General features: G+C 36.9%; 1 protein-coding gene across 3 annotated transcripts in view; it reads left to right on the top strand.

Annotated features, from left to right (window-relative positions):
- The window catches only part of ANGPT1 (angiopoietin 1), a 248,437-nt gene that overhangs the window by 2,470 nt on the left and 225,973 nt on the right, over positions 1–19,994 (top strand). The gene's annotated exons all lie outside the window — the stretch shown is intronic.

Below are 19,994 nucleotides of genomic sequence, written 5' to 3'. Positions count from 1 at the left end.
AAATCATGCACGTGTTTCATATGTTAATTTATTTTGCAAAATAAATTTGATTCTTGTTTGCATTGTTCTTGGTCAATGATTATGGGATAGCTTTCAGATTATAGCCAAGAATAACTATTAAAATGTTCTTTGGTTACATTCACCCTTTCAAGTGTAAAAATCAAGCTGAATATATGCTGAAAACGTCCCTATTGGTATGAGTCAGAGCAATGTGGCTTGACTATTGTCAGTTTAAATTTGCATATCTTTTGTCATTGTCAATGTGATTGGTTGGAGGATCAAGAAACCAAAAAATGCATTCAGCAAAGAACTTGCTAAAGGCTTTCATAAGTTTCCCTTAATTAGGAGTTTTCTTCACTCCAAGTTCTAAACTTCATGTGATATTTTTATTCTGATAATTGAAATGGAAATCTTTTTACTGTAACCATTTGGTATGCTCAGTACTGCAATTTGTATTACTTCTATTTTGATTCCAAGTAGTTGCCATAGGAAGAAGCAACACCCTGCAGAAACTGAGGCTATCAGTGTATGTAGGTGAAATTAATTTATCCATTTATTTGGCAAAATAATTAATCAAAGCATAGTGATTATTATGCAGCTCATGGCATCGCTATCAGGAAAGGTTTTGAGGCAGAATAGATGTGTTATCAACTCTAAATGAAGCTATATGATAATTATGTTAATCCATCACCTTCCATGAAGGGAAACCTCCTTCCTCAACTTTTCTGGTCTTGCAACTGAACAGGATGAGAAGCAAGGCATGCAAGGGGGCAAATGATTTGTGGGTCACCATAAATACTGGAACTGTTATGGCACTGCTTTCTTGATGTGATGGATTTAATTCAAAGAAATCAACTTTCCATAATCACTTGTCGATTAAAATGAGGTAGGTTGATAGCATTATTGTGACATCTCAGACCAGGAAGGGTGGTGTGAATAATATGCCTAACATCATAGTTTTATTTTGTGAAACACCTGGGTGTGTTTCTGGTTTGATCTCTTCTGTAATACAGCTCTTTTTGGAATTATTAGCAAGTCATAGTAAATACCTGAGAGTGACCAGCTCTTAGATAAGTAATGATAAATACAGCTGGCCTCTGTGTCTTTGTCACTTTCTTATGATCTCTCCCTACCTCTCTATGACAGTGAAACATTTAGCCCACATCCTGTACTTTGTGAACTATTGTTTTCTGTCTCCCACATCTCAAAAAGTTCACAAAGATGTACATTTAAAATATTTAGATTTAAATATGTATAATGTTCTAAGATTTGGGGAATCCTTAGAAGATCTGTTTTGCTTTTGCCAAATGATGTCTTTTTTTGTTAAAAGTTTAAATAAATTGAGTCAATAATGCCTTGTAACAGAAAACAATAGTCTATTTGCTATACATATTTTACACTAGCTAAAATTGATGACTATTAATGGAAAATATAGTTATGAATTGCCATCCAGAATATTTTAAGAAATACAAAGATTTTACTGGACTATTTAGCTGTTTTTCTATTGACAACATTTTTTGGTTAAGGATGTCCCCTATTTGCATATTGTATTCTTTTCTTCAGAGTTAAGATTTGAAATGCTATTACCCAAAACACATTGATGATGACGATTTTTTTAAACCCATATATTACATATATATTAATCCCTATTAATATCCATTAGAATGTGACCTCCATGAGGCCAGTGACCATGTGTGTTTGTCCAATGTCATAACCTCAGTTCCCAGAAGAGTATATAACATATTTATAACAGATATGCAATAAATATGTGTTAAATGAAAAAATGAATGCATTATCTATTGCATTCTGCACTTTACTGTCTACTGTCAGCATTTTATTCGAGGTATACACCTTACCTCTTCAATAGATTGTAAGTTGTCCTATAGGCAAGGACTATAACCTATGGTTATTTTTGTCCTAATACTAGTTAAAACAATATTGGGTCCAGAGTAGGTGGTTATTAATTATTCAAATTATATTTAACCAGTAATCTAGAATCTCAAAAACTTCTCTAGTCACTCCAATTCATCTTCTTAATTATTCTTTAAGGGTCAGCTCTGTTGCCAGTTTCTCCAGGAAATCTACCCACACTCCACTTACCCTCCCAGGCTGAGTTCTCAAATGTCATCACAGTACATTGACTGTATCATGTTAATGCTGTAGTTCAAAGTTGTTGTGGTGGTTGTTTTAATTGTTTGTTTCTAGGCTTGTTTTCCCACCTAGACTGTGAGTTCCTCAAGTGTAGTAAATGTCGCTTATCCATTTTTATACCTCTGAACATGTTCATTAAGGGTCTGGATTAATTTTTTGTTATTGTAATAATCAGTTTTTAAGAAATCAAGTGCTCAAGTGTATAGTGGTAACTATAAAATAGTGAAAATTAAGGGACCTTGTAACTACTTTAAGATGCTAAAGTCTGCTTAAATGTTAGCACTAGGCTACTTGAGGGTCAGCTAGATATTCCTTTGTACAATAATGTTTTGTACTTCTATAAGCACAAGAACTTAGTATTTCTTGTTCAGTACAGTAGGGAGCCATTTACTGCATACATCTGTATAATATGTATATATCTGTATACTATATGCACATGAGAACTTAATTATAATAATATGCATCTGTATAATATGTGCACATGAGAACTTAATTATATTAATATACATCTGTATAATATGTGCACATGAGAACTTAATTCTCACTGGTATATTATTGTTTTGGTGGCCGGTGGTGGCTGTGCAACAGTCAGAGAGAATGCTCTTATGTTTTATTTTCACATTTGTGGGAACTTCCTAAATGTGTGAAATGGGTACATATTGGCCGGGCGTGGTGGCTCACACCTGTAATCCCAGCACTTTGGGACGCCAAGGCGGGCAGATCACCTGAGGTGAAGAGTTCGAGACCAGCCTGGCCAACATGGCGAAACCCTGTCTCTACTAAAAATACAAAAACTTAGCTGGGCCTGGTGGTGTGTGCCTGTAATCCCAGCTACTAGGGAGGCTGAGGAAGGAGAATGGCTTGAACCCAGGAGGCGGAGGTTGCAGTGAGCTGATATCGCACCACTGCACTCCAGCCTGAATGACAGAGCGGGACTCCATCTCAAAAAAAATAAAGTAGATATTTAGTAAGTATGATTTTAATAATTTGTCACTAAACGTGAAAATAAGATACATGCACAATTTATGCCTAGAGATTGGGAAAAGTAACAGTTGCTGAGAAAGATTAATAGAAATAATGATCTTTTAAATCGAGTTGTAGAAATGTCCCCATCAACTTCATTTGAAGAATAGACCTCTGATTTTCAAGCCAAGTAAGAGCCCTTCAGAATCTGTATTAACTTTTCAACAAATAGTTCGGTATTATTGGTTGCTTGTTACATTTTAGAATCAAAAGATCCAAAAAAAACCCTTTCAGACCCAGAAGTTAGGCAGTTAGTGTTATAACAGCCTTTTGGTAAACTGTCTCCATTGAGAGAGCTCAGGTTTTAGGGCTATGACAAGTAGGTCCTTTTCTATGAGTTTCTATGGGCAATTACAGTTCTTCCTTACCCCTGACTGTACCATTTCACATTGAGCTTTCTTTTAATAGCACTCCTCTCATATAAAGGTATTGGCTTAATGTAATTTAAATGAATAAGAATGTCATTTCCCCCCTTAAAATCCTCCTACAACTTCTCATTACATAGGAATAAAATCTGAATTCTTACCAGGAGGTCTTATATGATCTGCCCCACACCTCTCACTGGCCCCATCATTTACTACCTTCAAACGACATTCCAGACACTCAAGTGACATTGGCCTTCTTGTTATTTCTCCAACAGACAGGCTCATTCCTGCCTCAGGGACTTTACAAGCTGTTTACTCAGCTCAGAAAATTCTTCCCCCTGATCTTTGCATGGTTGGCTACTTCTCTTCATTCAGGTCTTCACTCAGCAGTCTTCTCAGAAAGTCTCTGAGCACCATTACCTACCACCTTCCCCACTTTACTAAGAGACTTTCTACCTTATTATACTGTTTTATTTCTTCATGGTACTTGCTACTGCATAATGCTGTGTTACTTATTGTCTGTCAGATTATTTATTCTATCTCCGCCTACTAAGAATGCAAACTCCATTAGAGCAGCATCCTTGTCTATCTCGTTGATGCAGTATACCTTCTACCTAGAAGAGTGGATGACACATGGTAGAACCTTAATAAATATTTGCAGAATGAGCGACTCTCTATTTTCATAGACACTATGCTCTATGAGGTACATGATGCACCTGTCTTGTTCACTAGTTTTTATTTCTTCTTCTTTTTTTTTTAATCATTTCTGGTAGCAGATTGACTTTTCTAGCACAATGCTTACAGCATAGTTGGCTCTATTTATTATTTTTTAATAAATAGGGAAATAAATGAAGTCCATGAGCAGATTTGGACTATAATCAAATTGATGGGTGAAATTTGATGCAACTATATTTTACATATTACCTTTTTAACTACATAATGGCAGAAATTTTATTAATATTCTGAGTTTCCATCCTCTCTATCAAGGGTCAACAAGCGATGGCCCTTGGGCCAAATCCTTCCTGCCACCTCTGTTTGTAAATAAAGCTTTATTGAAGAACAACCACTTTCCTTCCTTTATATGTTGTCCGTGCATTTGTAAATAAAGTTTTATTGGAACAGAGCCACACTAATTCATTTATGTGTTGTCTATGGCTGCTTTCATACTACAAAAGCAGAATTGAGGAGTTGCAACAGAGCCTAAAATACTTAATATCCAGCCCTTTTGAGAAAAAGTTAGCTGACCCCTGCCCTATATTGCAAGAGGAATTAGTATTAGTATTGGGACCATTGCAAGGTAGATTGTAAGGTTTGTTGTGTGGGAAAAAGATCGCCCTCCAGGAGGCCCAGTAATCTTCAGGTTCATGCCAGTTGGCAGAGAGCCTGACTAAGCCATTTCTTGGCTGGGTGTCTGGACATGCTGTGAGGTGACATTTTAGAGGCACACAAACAAGGGAATTTCATGTCTTTTCTTTCTCCTGCCCATCATCACAAGAACAGGGAAATATTCCTAAAGCAGATACATATCAGAAAAGAAAAAAAAAGCACCTGAATAACAATACAGACCAGCAGCCTGTGGATAAACAAGTCTGGGCTACAGGATCTTCTGTGCTATGTGCCTGTTTCATCCTGTTGGTTGTGGCATTAGCAAGAATGCTGACAAAACACTAGAGCCATTCTATTTTCTTAGAAATGGGGCTTCAGCTCAGCCTCTTATTAGAAACCTTTCCCCCCTGTCATTTGTTTTAAGTATAAACATTAGAAGTGCTCTCACTTGTGCAGATGATGAGAGGGGAGGAGCGATAAGTGGGTAGCTCAGCTACAAAACACAGAGTTTTATCAGCCCCTGTGCTATAATTTGCTAATTAAGGAGGTTTTGTTTTCATTCTGCCACAGCCTTGTCTCTGTGTGGATACATTAGCAGCCTTTTCCTGGGCCTTGTGTTCTTTTCTTTTCTTCTTTTTTTTTTTTTAATACCGCAAGCTATATTGTGTCATTTGCTTAGATGCACAACCCTAATTACATTCTGAGTCATCCTCGACTTTTGTCCCAATACAAGATTATCTTTGGCGGTGGAGTTGGGAAATTCCAAACCCCCTTTGGTTTTGGCCCCATGGTCTGAGGGAGGGAGGGCATCTCCATGTTTAAATCTTCTTACAATGTGTACAAAAGATGTGCCCCCTCTCTTATCAAAGAGGTTTTTAAAGAATGACGCCCTCCATGGATTATCTTCTCTTTACATTTGGAGGCTATTTCCATGTAGGATCTATACCTGAATACTGTTATCTAATTCGAAATAATTAGAAGTGAGAGAGCTTTAGATTCATTTGGTCTTAGTTGTCTGCTCAAATAATCTGAATTTTTTCCTTCAAGCAAATGAAAAGGTGATTTTGAACAGAGAAAGTAGCTAATAATTTCATCCAGAATGCATTTAGGCCTATGAAGATCTTTTCTTTTGTCAGTAAGTACTGAAAAATATAGAGTAAGATAACTGTTGTTACTTGTTTATACTATACTACATGACTGTGCAGGTCACTTATTAGAGGTCTATCTAGGAATGTGTTTCCTAAGTTTGTGTTGAACTCTTGAAAAAACATGCAAATTAGCACAGGCATTGAGGTGTGTCTGAAGTAAATCAGCAGCTGAAATATGAATAAAATGCAAGTGAAAAAAATCTGAATATCTTAAATCACTAGTAATATGTACCTATAAGCGACCAAACTCACTGGCATCAGATAGGTAAACTTACTATAAATTTCAACGAAATGGCTTATGATAATTTTGAAGGATGGCATATTGTAAAATTTAGTGACGTGTGTAGCTCTATTCATTAGGAAGGAGTATGCTTTATTGGTAGTCTCCACTTTGTTTCTGAAGGTTAAATAAGTTAAATTACAATGCTTGACCCTTCAAGATTATTGGAGACTTTCCATTCCCAGAGAACCAATAAATATTTTAAAATCCCAAATTATAGTTCTTCTCTAAACCCTTAAAGATGAAAGATAGCCCCAGGATTTCATAAAACATTTTAACAATGTTCTTGTCTTCACTCTTGATATAGAGCTGACTAGATTAAAGTTCAGTAGGTTTTTATTGTAGCTCAAGGTTTGCCCCACCCAGCAGGTCTTGACATCCACCTTATTTTAATTGCACAGATATAAGGGGTGAGAATTGTAACCTTATTACCAGTATTATCAGTCTTCTTATTATTTTCTAATTCTACTCAGTTTTTAAATAATAAGAACAAAGGTATAAGGTTATAGTTGTTCTAATGCTTGTAGAATAAATGAATGGGTTTATTGAATAAGTTGAATATTTAATAACTTAAAATGTCAATAATAAAGACAATATTTTTGAATCAATGAACTGATGAATTTTAAATAATTCTTGGCAATCGAACCTGATTTTCAAATGAATTATTCCGCAGAAGTTTAATATCTAGAAACAAATGGAGAGGTTACAGAAGAAGTGGAGTGAGGCCTCCTTCTAAACCCTCTTCCCTTGGCCCTCCAAGAGCATTCCGCAGGGCATCCCATATGTCCAAAGGAACATAGTTTCAAAATAGCTGCAAGAAAACTTTCAAATAATCAAATATTAGTTAGGTAAAGCTGCCCAAACCTAGCTACTGGTGGGCACAAAGAAACATTACATTCGATAGTTTGAATTTGTTGCCAAGCTGTTGTAAGAACATCCAAATCTGCCTTACAGAAAGCAGTTTAAGGGTACCAATTGTAAATTTCAAAAACAAATGCAGATTGTTTTAGACTCTTAAAATACTGAGGCCCACCCATATTTCACATGACACAAATTTGATAAGATAATAGAGTACTCTTGGTTAATTAGCGGCAAATTCTATAATTTATCTAATCCTTTAATTATACAATTGTATGATAGTGTACACTTATCTACTTTTACCTTAAGAATGTAGTATTTGATGATTGCCTCATATTGTAAAGGATACTATTCACTTCAAGCAGAATTCATTGTCAAGAATAGTGAAAGAAAATCTGAATTTCAAGGAGGAATTTTGATATTTTCAAAATTCTCTGATGATTTGTTAGATCTACTTAGCTAACCTTGTTTTTTTACTTCTAATACATGGCACTTACCAAGAATAGAAATCTCAAGAACTGCTATTTTCTTGTACACATGTGCCAGTATTTTTGTGTTTTTTAAGACACTTGTCCATGTTGTAAATATTAATTTAGTTTAAACTATATAAAATAATCCATGAGTCCGTTTTCCCAAATACACTGAAGCTGTGCTATATCATAATGTGCTGAAAGAGGACAATCAAGTGAGGCAGCCCCATCAATTTCTTTAGCTCTCTGGAGCTTTTTCTTTTTCTTTCTTTTTTTTTTAGCAGATGAATGACGCACGGCCGCTTAATATACTGATGGTGTGAAGGCTCCAATGTTAGGCCTTATATGAATTTATTATTAACTTTCTTATTGTTTTAGAAATGAAAGTTCTAATATTTTTTCTGGCTTCCAAATGGTTTGCTTTTTTCAACCCCCACTTTGCTCATTCTGCACGTTAGAGACTTCTGAGATTAAAAGCAGGAAAGCAGAGGTGGCAAGGCAGCCCTCAGACCAGGCAAGACAAAAAGATTCAAAGGGACCTCCCGGCCTGTCTCTCCTTTTTATTTCTCTTGTCTCCTCCATTATTGTTTTTAATAAAGTCTCCTGTGATCCTCCCCATGCTGGCCATGGAGTGGGAGTGCTGCAAAGAGGATGGACGACAGGGAAGGTGAATGAACAGAGAGACCAGTGACTGTCCCTTTATTGGGACATGGGGGAGGGGTGACACAGTGAGGGACGGGGGACTATAGCAGTGTCAGGAGGACTGCTCCATGAGGGATGGCATGAGTTTTGTCATGCGCTTTTAGGATACAGGCAGGAGTCATAGAGCTTAGCACCTGCAATTAACAAAGGGCAGGAAACCAGTTAGCCAGTTACCTAATCAAATATGCACTTCAGCCAAGGTGGTCTGCAAGGTACTAGGAAGATGTAAGAAATTCACTAAAACCCCTGTTGTTGAGAAGCCTAAACCCACTGAAACAGACTTAAAAGCAAGGACATTGTTTGTGTCCACTATTTCCTATGGCAAGTTTAACGGTAGTACAGCCCAGTGATGAAGTGTGTCATGCCTAGAGTCAAACTGCTTGGATTTGAATGCTGATAGCACCACTGACTTGCTGTGTAACCTTGGGCAAGCTTCTTCACTGCTCTGTGCTGCAATTTCATTATGGGTGAAATTGAGGTGATAATAGTATCTATGCCATAGAGTTATTAAGTGCAAGCATAATACACATAAATTACTTTGCATAAGTCCTGTCACCTAGTAGGTGTTACGTAAATACTACTTATTACTAGGGGAAGTTCTGGGTACAGTGTTAGTTAAATATTGAGCACTTTTTCAAAACTGTTGAGACCATTGGAAAAACTTTACATGTGTTAATTCATTGAATACCTCAAAAGCCAATGTGAGGTAGATAGTGTTATAATTGCCTCACGTGGCAAATGAGGAAACTGAGGCAGGTACAGAGAGTGGAAGTAACTTGCCCAGGATTACGCAGTAGTTAAATTTATGGGCCAGCACTCAATCCCAGGCAGTCTGGCTCTATGACCTATGCTCTTAACCAAATATGAGATTAGCTGCAGCAACGTTTGCCATGTCTCCTCTTGTCAATCCTCAAACCTTAAGCCTATTTCTAAAAAATTTTTCTGTAGTTGTCTTTGTGTCTAAACCCTTAATTCTTTCATACTAAATGTGTTGCCCCTTTCTCAAGTTCTGTTTCACACAGCCATTTGTCCCCATCCACACTCTAAAGCTCCATGGTTAAATTGACGGTGGCACTGTAGGCTCTGTTGCTGATTGAAGCACAATAGCTGATTCTCTCAGCCCTCCCACAGGCCTGTTAACAGACCGCAGAATCCCACGTCTGCAGTCCCTACTGTGTAACTCCTTAGAAGCACCATCTCTTGAAGTTATAGAGCTTAATTGAGTCTGACTATTTATCTAAAAACTTCTAAAACACAAAGAAAGGCTTACAATTGCTTTACATGGGGCGAAGCCGCCTATTCTAAATATCTTCCATTCAATGTAATGACCTCCCTCTTGGATTTATCTGTAGGCAATCCTGCTTGGAAAAGTGAAAGTGCATTCTGGAACTTAAAATATTATTTGCCTGCACTTCCTTTTGTGGGTCATTTGGAGAGTTGTAAAAATGAGAAGAAAAACCTTGTTTCCTTAGGCAATGACCTCTTATCTCACTTCCTATTTTATTTATCATTGTCCCTATTAATGAAAATATTCCTGGTATTTTGGGCCCAAGCCAAGAACACTGCTACTTGTAGACAATTGTGATAGTTCTTCCTCTCGTTTTGTCTGATCTTGGAGGCCTGGCCACTCAAAATTTGGGTTTTGAGGGTCACTGCTTCCCTTGCTGAGTATCAGTTGCATGAGACAGGGAGGCTCTAAGCTACCCTAAATTCTCCCTGTCCATTCTTCTCCATAGAGACCCAAAGAGGACAAAGCAGGGTGGGGACAAAATAGATTTCAGTCATTCTTTTCACCCACCTTTGCATGGCGAGGTAAACCAAAACCTATTAAAACAGCACAACAACAAACAACTCAGCGCATATTCACTTGCTTGACCTGCGCTGTCTATTGAAAGCTGAGCACAAGCAATGTGTGGTGTGCGGGCATTGCAGGTGCCCAGTAGATACTGTTGGGATGTGTTCATCAATCAACACACGCTGTATTGCTCAAGCTGTTTGGGGGCCACTGTTTGGTCAGTGAAGTTGTCTAAAGGATACTTGTGCTAATGCTGAATAACAGAGACCTTTCCCCAATGTGCAGGAAACTATTAAGTTATAGAGTACAATTTTCTTGATTTTAAGGGTTTCTCACTTCATTGTCTCCATGTTTGTCATCTTCCATCTATTGTGTGTGATATTTATCATCTCTCAGGAGATAGCTGACAATACAGCAAATACATATTAAAGGAAGCTGGGAAGTGACCTCTCATGTTTAGTTGTACAGCTTGCATTACATGAGATACATGATTATCTACTGATATAACATAATCACATTTTCTGCCAAAGAAATTGCTGTTGCTTTCGGCACAAAATAATTTATCTGCAAAGAGAGCAATAGATACTGGATGTTCTGCCACATAGCAAGTGTGAAAATGACTTTTCTGCCAGACACAGTAGCTCATGTCTGTAATCCATCACTTTCGGAGGCCAAGACTGGTGGATTGAGCCCAAAAGTTCAAGACCAGCCTGGGCAACATGGTGAAACCCTGTCTCTAACAAAATAATATACAAGAATTAGCCTGGCATGGTGGCTGGCACATGCCTGTAGTCCCAGTGACTCTAGAGGCTGAGGTAGGAGGATCATTTGAGCCCGGGAGGTCGAGGCTGCAGTGAGCTGGGATCGTGGCACTGCACTCCAGTCTGGGTGACAGAGTGAGACTATCTCCAAAAACAAAAAGAAAAAAATAATGATTTTTTAAAATAAGGTATTAATAAATCTACCTTGGTAAACAGTGTCATCACCCAAACAAATATTTTAATACATAGCAGGTATTATCAAACCCACTTTACAGATAAGGAAACTGAGGGCCACTAAAGTCAAATGATTTTTAAGAGTTTACATATTTACTTTGAGGCAGATTGCAGAATTTGAACCCATACTCTGAGTGGTTAAATCTGAAGCTCTTCACTCTTCTTGCCTCTTTCACTTTTCTTTCACAAATTACAACAAATTCTGAATGGTGGGGAGCAGGGAAGAGATTCAGATGAATGATGATGTCTTGTAAGTTTTTGGAGAATCTATCCATACTAAATAACCATCTTTGGCAATGAGAATAATTTACCATACATGTGTATAAATTGCTGTAAGAAGCCTGATGTTCTTAGGGAAAATGCTTCCTAGGCATCTTTCCCATCCCAGCACAATTCTTAAAAAACTTTCACAAATATGTCAGAGGCAAATAATTCATTGCTATTTTTACTTTTCTTTTTAAATAAATGAGCTACTTAGACAAATTGCCTTAGTTGGAGTTATCCTGATATGAGCATACAAATAAAGATAATATTTTAAAACAGCTTATCTGTATTTTTGTTCAGGAACACTTCATTACAGTATTAGGTTGTATTTCTTATATTTCTTTCAGCTAAAAAACAAATAAAAAATAAAATATAGTCAATAGAGGAGAATCATTTAACATCTTCAACATTAATAAATTGGGTACTATTTGTAATATTCTGGGGAAGAGTCATCACTTAAAAGACCTTATGCCATATATGTTTTGAATTTTTTTAAAAGTTCATCAGTATGATAAGAATATGAAAAAAGTAGTCACTGATCTCCAGTCTATGCTTAGAAAAAAAGAAAAGAAAATTAATAAACACTTGTGAAGGTGAAACTGTCAGTATCTCTTACTGACAGTCAAGATAAACTAATGTACTAAGGAGACCTTGGTTCAAATAAATGATAAAAGCTGACAATAGCAGTGGAAAACTCATACTCAGCCTTCAACAAGGAAAGCTCTTAACTGAGAATTGAATATAGAGAGAAACTAAGAAGTCTTCCTGTCAAAGAGGAAAAAGAAATTTTTATTTTATGACTGTTATGTTTCATATGAGACTAAAGCTTACATACTTTGAGTTCACAAATCAAACTTGTGCAATTTGCAAGGAAAAGGTCATTAGGGAAATGAATTACCCTGAACATAAATTATCTCTATATAGTATCCTACTATTTTGAAATGTCTTCCATTGGATCTAATTTTGAAGATTATGGCCAAAAAGATATCATAAACAACTAAAGAATTCAAATAAACTCTATAAGCCTATTTTAAAGTTTTTTTTTAATGTTTCAAATAATTCACCAAATATTTGGAAAGCTCCTTTTCTGGTCAGATACAAAATATCCTCTTGTGAAAAATGAGATTAATGTATGTTTGTTCCTCCTCTGATTACTGGGCATTTGAGAAATCAATGGCGAAGTGGTGATTTTCATCAGAAGGACACATCATTCCAACCCATTCATTCAGTGGAGGTGTTCTGGAATCTTTAAGGAAGATCGAGTTTAAAAAATTATATATAGTTTTTAAAAGTTAGAACAAAACACACCCACCTCACCATATTTGAGTAATAAAGCTATGTAAAGACATACAGTTATTTCTTTTTTAATTTAACAAGGTAGAAAAAGTACAAGTAATAGGTAGAGAACAGGACTGGATGGTAAATGATTATAATAGCACTTCCTGTCTTATATGCCACCCTCTCATGAAGAGTTCCCCTCCCCTTGAATCTGGCTGGGCCATAAAAGGGAATTGAATTCCCATCTTGTGCACTACAATACTCATGCCCTGAGCTACTGTGTTAGAAGTCCATATACCCCAAGGCCATGGTGTTGTGAAGAAGTCAAGCCACATGGAGAAGGCATGTGTAGGTGCTGTGGTTAGTGAGTCTCCATATTTGAGTCACCTCAACTCAGGCTCTAGACATGGGAGCAAATGAGCCTTCAAAGCTTTCTGGTCCCCACCCATTGCACTATCTCTAGATTCGGAAAAGGTTCAGAACATCATGGAGTAGAAACAACCCATCCCTACAGTTCCTTTTCTGAAATCCTGACTCATAGAGTCTGACAGCCCAATGAACATAATCAAATAGTTGTTACAAACTACTAAATTTGGAGGGTAATATGACGGAACTTCAAAAAATTCATGGAAGAAAATAATTGAAAGATAAAAATGAAAATGTAAACTTTATTTCTTAACATAAGCTACATCAGGTTCAACTCACTCATATAAGCCGTGATACCAGCCATCTTAGTCCATCCCTAAAGAACTGAAGGTCCGGGAATTTAATCATTATCAATGCAGTCTTTTTTTCATTATTAACTGAAGGGAAATAAGTACCTGATATGGTTTGGCTGTGCCCCCACCCAAATATCATCTTGAATTGTAGTTCCTATAATCCCCACGTGTTGTGGGAGAGACCTCATAGGAGGTGAATTCGATTATGGGGGCAGTTTTCCCATGCTGTTCTCATGAGAGTGGGTGAGTTCTCACGATAGTGAGTGAGTTCTCACGGAATCTGATGGTTTTATAAGGGGCTTCCCCCTTCGCTCGGGACTCATTCTCTTTCCTGCAGCCCTGTGAAGAGATGCCTTCTGCCAAGATTGTAAGTTTCCTGAGGCCTCCCCCCAGACACTGGGAACTGCGGGTCAGTTAAACCTCTTTTCTTTATAAATTACCCAGTTTCGGGTATTTCTTCATAGCAGCATGAGATTGGACTAATATAGTACCTTTTACAGATTTTCTTTTCTTCTTCCTTTTTTTTTTTTTTTTTTTTTTTTGAGACAGAGTCTTGCTTTGTTGCCAGGCTGGAGTGTAGTGGTGTAATCTTGGCTCACTGCAACCTCTGCCTCCCAGGTTCAAGTGATACTCCTGCCTCAGCCTCCCAAGTAGCTGGGACTACAGGAGCCCGCCACCGCGCCTGGCTAATTTTTTGTATTTTTAGTAGAGATGGGCTTTCACCATGTTGGCCAGGATGGTTTCGATCTCTTGACCTCGTGATCCACCTGCCTCAGCCTCCCAAAGTGCTGGGATTACAGGCATGAGCCACCTCACCTGGCCCCTTTTACAGATTTTTAAAGAGTAAGAAACAAAAAAGTCAGAAAGAGCCAAATCAGGACTGTAAGGTGGATGCCTAATGCTTTTTCATGGAAAGTCTTGAAAAATTGCCCTTGTTTGATGAGATGAATTAGCACGAGCATTGTGGTTGTGAAGAAGGACTCTGCTGAAGTTTCTCTGGATGTTTCCATGCTAAGCATTGGCAAACTTTCTCAAAACACTCTCATAATAAGCAGATGTTATGGTTCTTTGGTCCTCCAGAAAGTCAACAAATAAAATGCCTTGAAGATCCAAAAAAACTATTGCCATGGCCTTTGCTTTTGACTGGTCCACTCTTTCTTTGACTGGACCACTTCCACCTCTCAGTAGCCATTGCTTTGATTGTGCTTTATCTTCAGGATCATATTGGTGAAGCCATGTTCTATCTCCTGTTACAATTCTTCAAAGAAAGCTTTAGGATCTCAATCCCACTTGTTTAAATTAAAATTTCCATTGAAAACTCTGCTCTTGTCTATAGTTGATCTAGGTTATATGGTTTTGTACCCATGAAGTTGAGTGGAAAATTTGCTCAATTTTAATTTTTCAGTCAGATGTGTAAGCCAAATAAATTGAAATGATTGTGATGTTGGCTATTGTTCATGCTGTTAGTCATCGATCCCCTTCAATTAGGGCATAAACAAAGAAAAAATTCTATGTGTGTGGATAGTCTGCTGCTGCAGGCTTCATCTTCAACATTTTCTTGTCCCTTAAAATGAGTTATCCATTTGTAAACTGCTGATTACTTTGGAGCATTGTCCCCATAAAATTTTTGTAAAGCATTAATGATTTCACCATTCTTCCAACCAAACTTCACCATGAATTTGATGTTTGTTCTTGCTTCAATTTTAGCAGAATTTATGTTGTTTTAATAAGGGCTCTTTTAAATAGATACCTTATTCTTCTTAGTGCCTCAAACTAGATCCTGTTCAGATAGGTTACAAGTTAGTACAAATGTATTTTGGGCAAACATTTTTAAACCCATGCATAGTTTTTTCATATTATGCACTTTCCATGAGCTTTTTGAAGACTCCCCTTTATATTAAATCAATAGCAGTGACTGGAACAGTCACCATTTACTTAGGCATACATGCAGTGCCTATCACTATAACAGGCATTGAAAAACAATGTATTAGACCTGAGGTCTGCCTTCCAGAAGATTGCATTCCAGTAAGACTTATGACATGGATAAAAATGTCATAAGGTTTGTTTTTAGGCAAATTTTTTTATTGCCTCTGTCTATTCTCAAAAAGTTAACTATTTCAGTTTCACATAAGTTTAGTAAGATTTAATAAATATAACTGGAAGACTGCATATATTTTTGTGCTCCTTTGAGTAAAATTGTTGTTAGTATTTTTATATCTACAGAATAGTATTTTTAAAAGCTTCATAGACCATCCACACTCTGAATTCCACAATATCAAATTGAAGTGCTATATAGTTTATGTGATTCTTAATGCTTACATTGTTTGAAATTTTTCTGATCATTAAAAATCATAAAAATCTCTGGGAATTTGGATTTTTGAGAATCTAGTCATGAAGTTATTTTATAACTCTATGCTACTTAACCTGTCATGTTTAGGCTGTAAGTTTGAATCCAGATGTTTCTGAAAGCTGTTACTGAGCATGGCTGACTGGTGATCTCTCAAACGTAAAATGAGTTAGCACCATCTGTTCAGTTCCCAGTGGTTTGAAATTCCTGCAGTAAAATCTATCCCAGATTTTCCCCTTCTTAAGTGATGAGCATAGAATCTGGACTTGAATGAAACAGGTATAGGAACATTCTTTAAATATATGAGGTGCTTTGCTTATTACATTACATATTGGTTGAAACTTTTTGGAAAAGAGCATAACAGTAAATACAAAGAACATAGCTATTTTCAAATCTTTTAACTCAGTAATCCAATTTCTGGGAATCATTCCCAAGGAAATAATTTAACAGAAGGAAAAAGCAACATATATGAACATGCTCATTGCAGCCACCATAGCAGGAACACAGGAAACAATAGGTATTATTTATTTGGTATTTGTTTCAATACCTTGCACACATGATCTCTAATCCCCAAAACAAAAAAAAAATCTGGAAGATAAACATTACCCACAATCTTTGAATAAGGAAATCACATACAAGCTCCCACAAGCAGTAAGTGGCAGAACCGTTAAGACACTCCAATCCGGGACCCTCTGACGAAAGATCATGTCTTCAGTGACCCCATGACTGCAACTGTTAAAATCACGTTTTAAAAAGAGAAGATGCCCACCAGATGTTGTGTGAACAAGTAGGTTATATACCTGAATAACTGAAATAATAGCTAATATTTTGGGCACTTAGTATGAACCAAACTCTGGGACAGATACTTTAGGATATTATTTTATTTCATTCTCACAACTCTATACACACATACTGTTATTGTCCTCAATTTATAAAAGCTGTATGTATGTAATAGCACTGAGTTTGTGTGTGGGGTGGGTGGAAGATCACTGTGCATTTGTAGGCATGCACATAAAACTATTGACAAGGAACATACCCAAAACATTCACAATGAATAATTTTTAATGGAAAAATTGAAGAGTTTTAAACATTTTCTCTTTTATGAAGATTATGTGTATTGTACAATATAAGCATTGACACTTTTATAATCAAAGCAATCTTTATTTATTTATTTATTTTGAGATGGAGTCTCGCTCTGTTGCCCAGACTGGAGTGCAGCCGTGCGATCTCAGTTTACTGCAACCTCTGCCTCCCAGGTTGAATCTATTCTCCTGCCTCAGCCTCCCCAAGTAGCTGGGACTACAGGCGTGCACCACCACACCCAGCTACTTTTTGTATTTTTAGTAGAGTGGGGTTTTCCCATGTTAGCCAGGCTGGTCTCGAGCTCCTGACCTCAGGTGATCTGCCCACTTCAGCCTCCCAAAGTGCTGGGATTACAGGCATGAGCCACCACGCCCGGCAGATTTTTTTTTTTTTTGAATAGGTATATTTAGACTGAGGCCAAATAAAAGAAGCAGGAGTGATGTAAAACAGATGGGATCTTGACTCCATGAAATTTTGACCATATTAAAATTTTCATTATTTTTCAAAATAACTGTTGCAGAGAAAACAAATATAAAAAGATCTTTAGAAATAGTAGCAGAATCTTGTAGAAAAAAAAAAAACAGGAGAAATATTTTGGAACAGGGTTTTTCCATTGGTAACTTCATTTTTTACTACCGAAGCAGCTTTCTTCCTGTAAGACCAGCTCTCAATTTACTTTACTCATGTCATGGTCATTTATTCATTTTATACCAATTTTTATTTCTTACTTTCCCTTGTCTTTACTTTCATGTAAAGACTTATGTTGAAAGCACCCAAAACGGTGAATTACAGAGAAAGAAATTGGGTCGGGGTAGTCCAAAATCCTTGGCTAATTTTATTCTTTTTTTTCAAAGGAAGAAATACATATAAGAAATTTTGTTTGAGATGAACAGAAGTAAGTTATAAAACAGAAGGAAAGTGAATGAGCTAGTTTTATAGAATATAAAATCAAGATTAATTTCTCCAAGACTTAATGTGGCAAAGAAAGCAGGAATAAATACTTGAGAGAGAGATTAATGAAGTTATGATTATGTGAGATGATAAGTATGAAATTACTTCACAAGATCTTAATATCTATCCCAGTGCAAATTATATTGACAGCCAGAGCTTTTCAAAAATTTAGAACCAATCATGACATTGCCGTAGTGAAAACACACGGACCCATGGTATCCTCAGAATGAAGTTCAAACTCTTAAATCTATCTTTATAAGCTGGCCCTGGCTTACTACTCCAGTCTCATCTTTCACAATTTCTCCATTGTTCTTTATGTTCCAGCCACGTCTAAATGTAGCAGTTCTGTTACAATATCATGATTTATTTCTCTTCCTTAACTTTGTGCAAACTGTGACCCAACAAATTCCCTAACTCTCTCCCGCTCCATCCTCCATATTGTAGTTAATAAACGAATGGATGGAGAGGTGAATGGACATATGACTGCAGGGATAAATGAATGAGTAGGTGTGATAGGTCAGGCAATTCAGTTTTAGGGAATGGAATTTTACAGGTAAGGTGACAAATAAAATGATAGAAACTTACTGTCAAACTTTTAAAGGACATAGGCATAAACAGTAGTAGTAGTGAAACAACGGGTTTGGATTCTGTGGTTGCATTATGCAAGGGTGGATAATTGGAAGCTGGGGTGCTATGGAGAGTGGCCCACACAGCCCTGACACTTCCTTAAAGTAATACAGAAATAAGCAAGCAGATAAAAGGATGGAGAAGCAGCTAGAGAACTAGGGAAAAGGTTGAATTCTGAGGGGAAAATCATAATGAACATAAGTAAATAAAAATAAACCAGAAGTCTTCATCAAAGATAATACTAGGATTTTAGAACTGGGGTCATCACAAGAGTGCTTTGCTCAGGCAATACGTACTAAATTTTAAAAAAGCAAATATTTCTGCATTTGTGTCATATGGAGCTGTTTAATTTCAGATGACTTTACAAGGAATTCTTAATATTACATAACATGAGATTGATTCCATTCTCATTTTTCTAAATGTGAGGAGGAAACGACGATCCTAAGGTGCTTTCAAATTTATTTATTTATTTATTTATTATTATACTTTAAGTTCTAGGGTACGTGTGCACAACGTGCAGGTTTGTTACATATGTATACACATGTGCCATGTTGGTGTGCTGCACCCATTAACTCATCATTTACATTAGGTATATCTCCTAATGCTATCCCTCCCTGCTCCCCCCCACCCCATGACAGGCCCTGGTGTGTGATGTTCCCCTTCCTGTGCCCAAGTGTTCTCATTGTTCATTTCCCACCTATGAGTGAGAATATGCGGTGTTTGGTTTTTTGTCCTTGCAATAGTTTGCTGAGAATGATGGTTTCCAGCTTCATCCATGTCCTTACAAAGGACATGAACTCATCCTTTTTTATGGCTGCATAGTATTCCATGGTGTATATGTTCCACATTTTCTTAATCCAGTCTATCATTGATGGGCATTTGGGTTGGTTCTAAGTCTTTGCTATTGTGAATAGTGCCACAATAAACATACATGTGGATGTGTCTTTATAGCAGCATGATTTATAATCCTTTGAGTATATACCCAGTAATGGGATAGCTGGGTCAAATGGTATTTCTAGTTCTAGATCCTTGAGGAATTGCCACACTGTCTTCCACAATGGTTGAACTAGTTTACAGTACCACAAACAGAGTAAAATTGTTCTTATTTCTCCACATCCTCTCCAGCACCTGTTGTTTACTGACTTTTTAATGATCGAATTCTAACTGGTGTGAGATGGTATCTCATTGTGGTTTCGATTTGCATTTCTCTGATGGCCAGTGATGGTGAGCATTTTTTCATGTGTCTGTTGCCTGCATAAATGCCTTCTTTTGAGAAGTGTCTGTTCATATCCTTCACCCACTTTTTGATGGGATTGTTTGCTTTTTTCTTCTCAATTTGTTTGAGTTCTTTGTAGATTCTGGATATTAACCCTTTGTCAGATGAGTAAATTGCAAAAATTTTCTCCCATTCTGTAGGTTGCCTGTTCACTCTGATGGTAGTTTCTTTTGCTGTGCAGAAGCTGTTTGTTTAATTAGATCCCATTTGTCAATTTTGGCTTTTGTTGCCATTGCTTTTGGTGTTTTAGACATGAAGTCCTTGCCCATGCCTATGTCCTGAATGGTATTGCCTAGGTTTTCTTCTAGGGTTTTTATGGTTTTAGGTCTAATGGTT

The sequence above is a fragment of the Homo sapiens genome, chromosome 8 (genome assembly GCF_000001405.40).
Source record: "Homo sapiens chromosome 8, GRCh38.p14 Primary Assembly".
In the NCBI taxonomy this organism is placed as follows: domain Eukaryota; kingdom Metazoa; phylum Chordata; class Mammalia; order Primates; family Hominidae; genus Homo; species Homo sapiens.
Note: the sequence above shows the minus strand (reverse complement) of the source record. Positions and strands in the feature narration are given on the sequence as shown.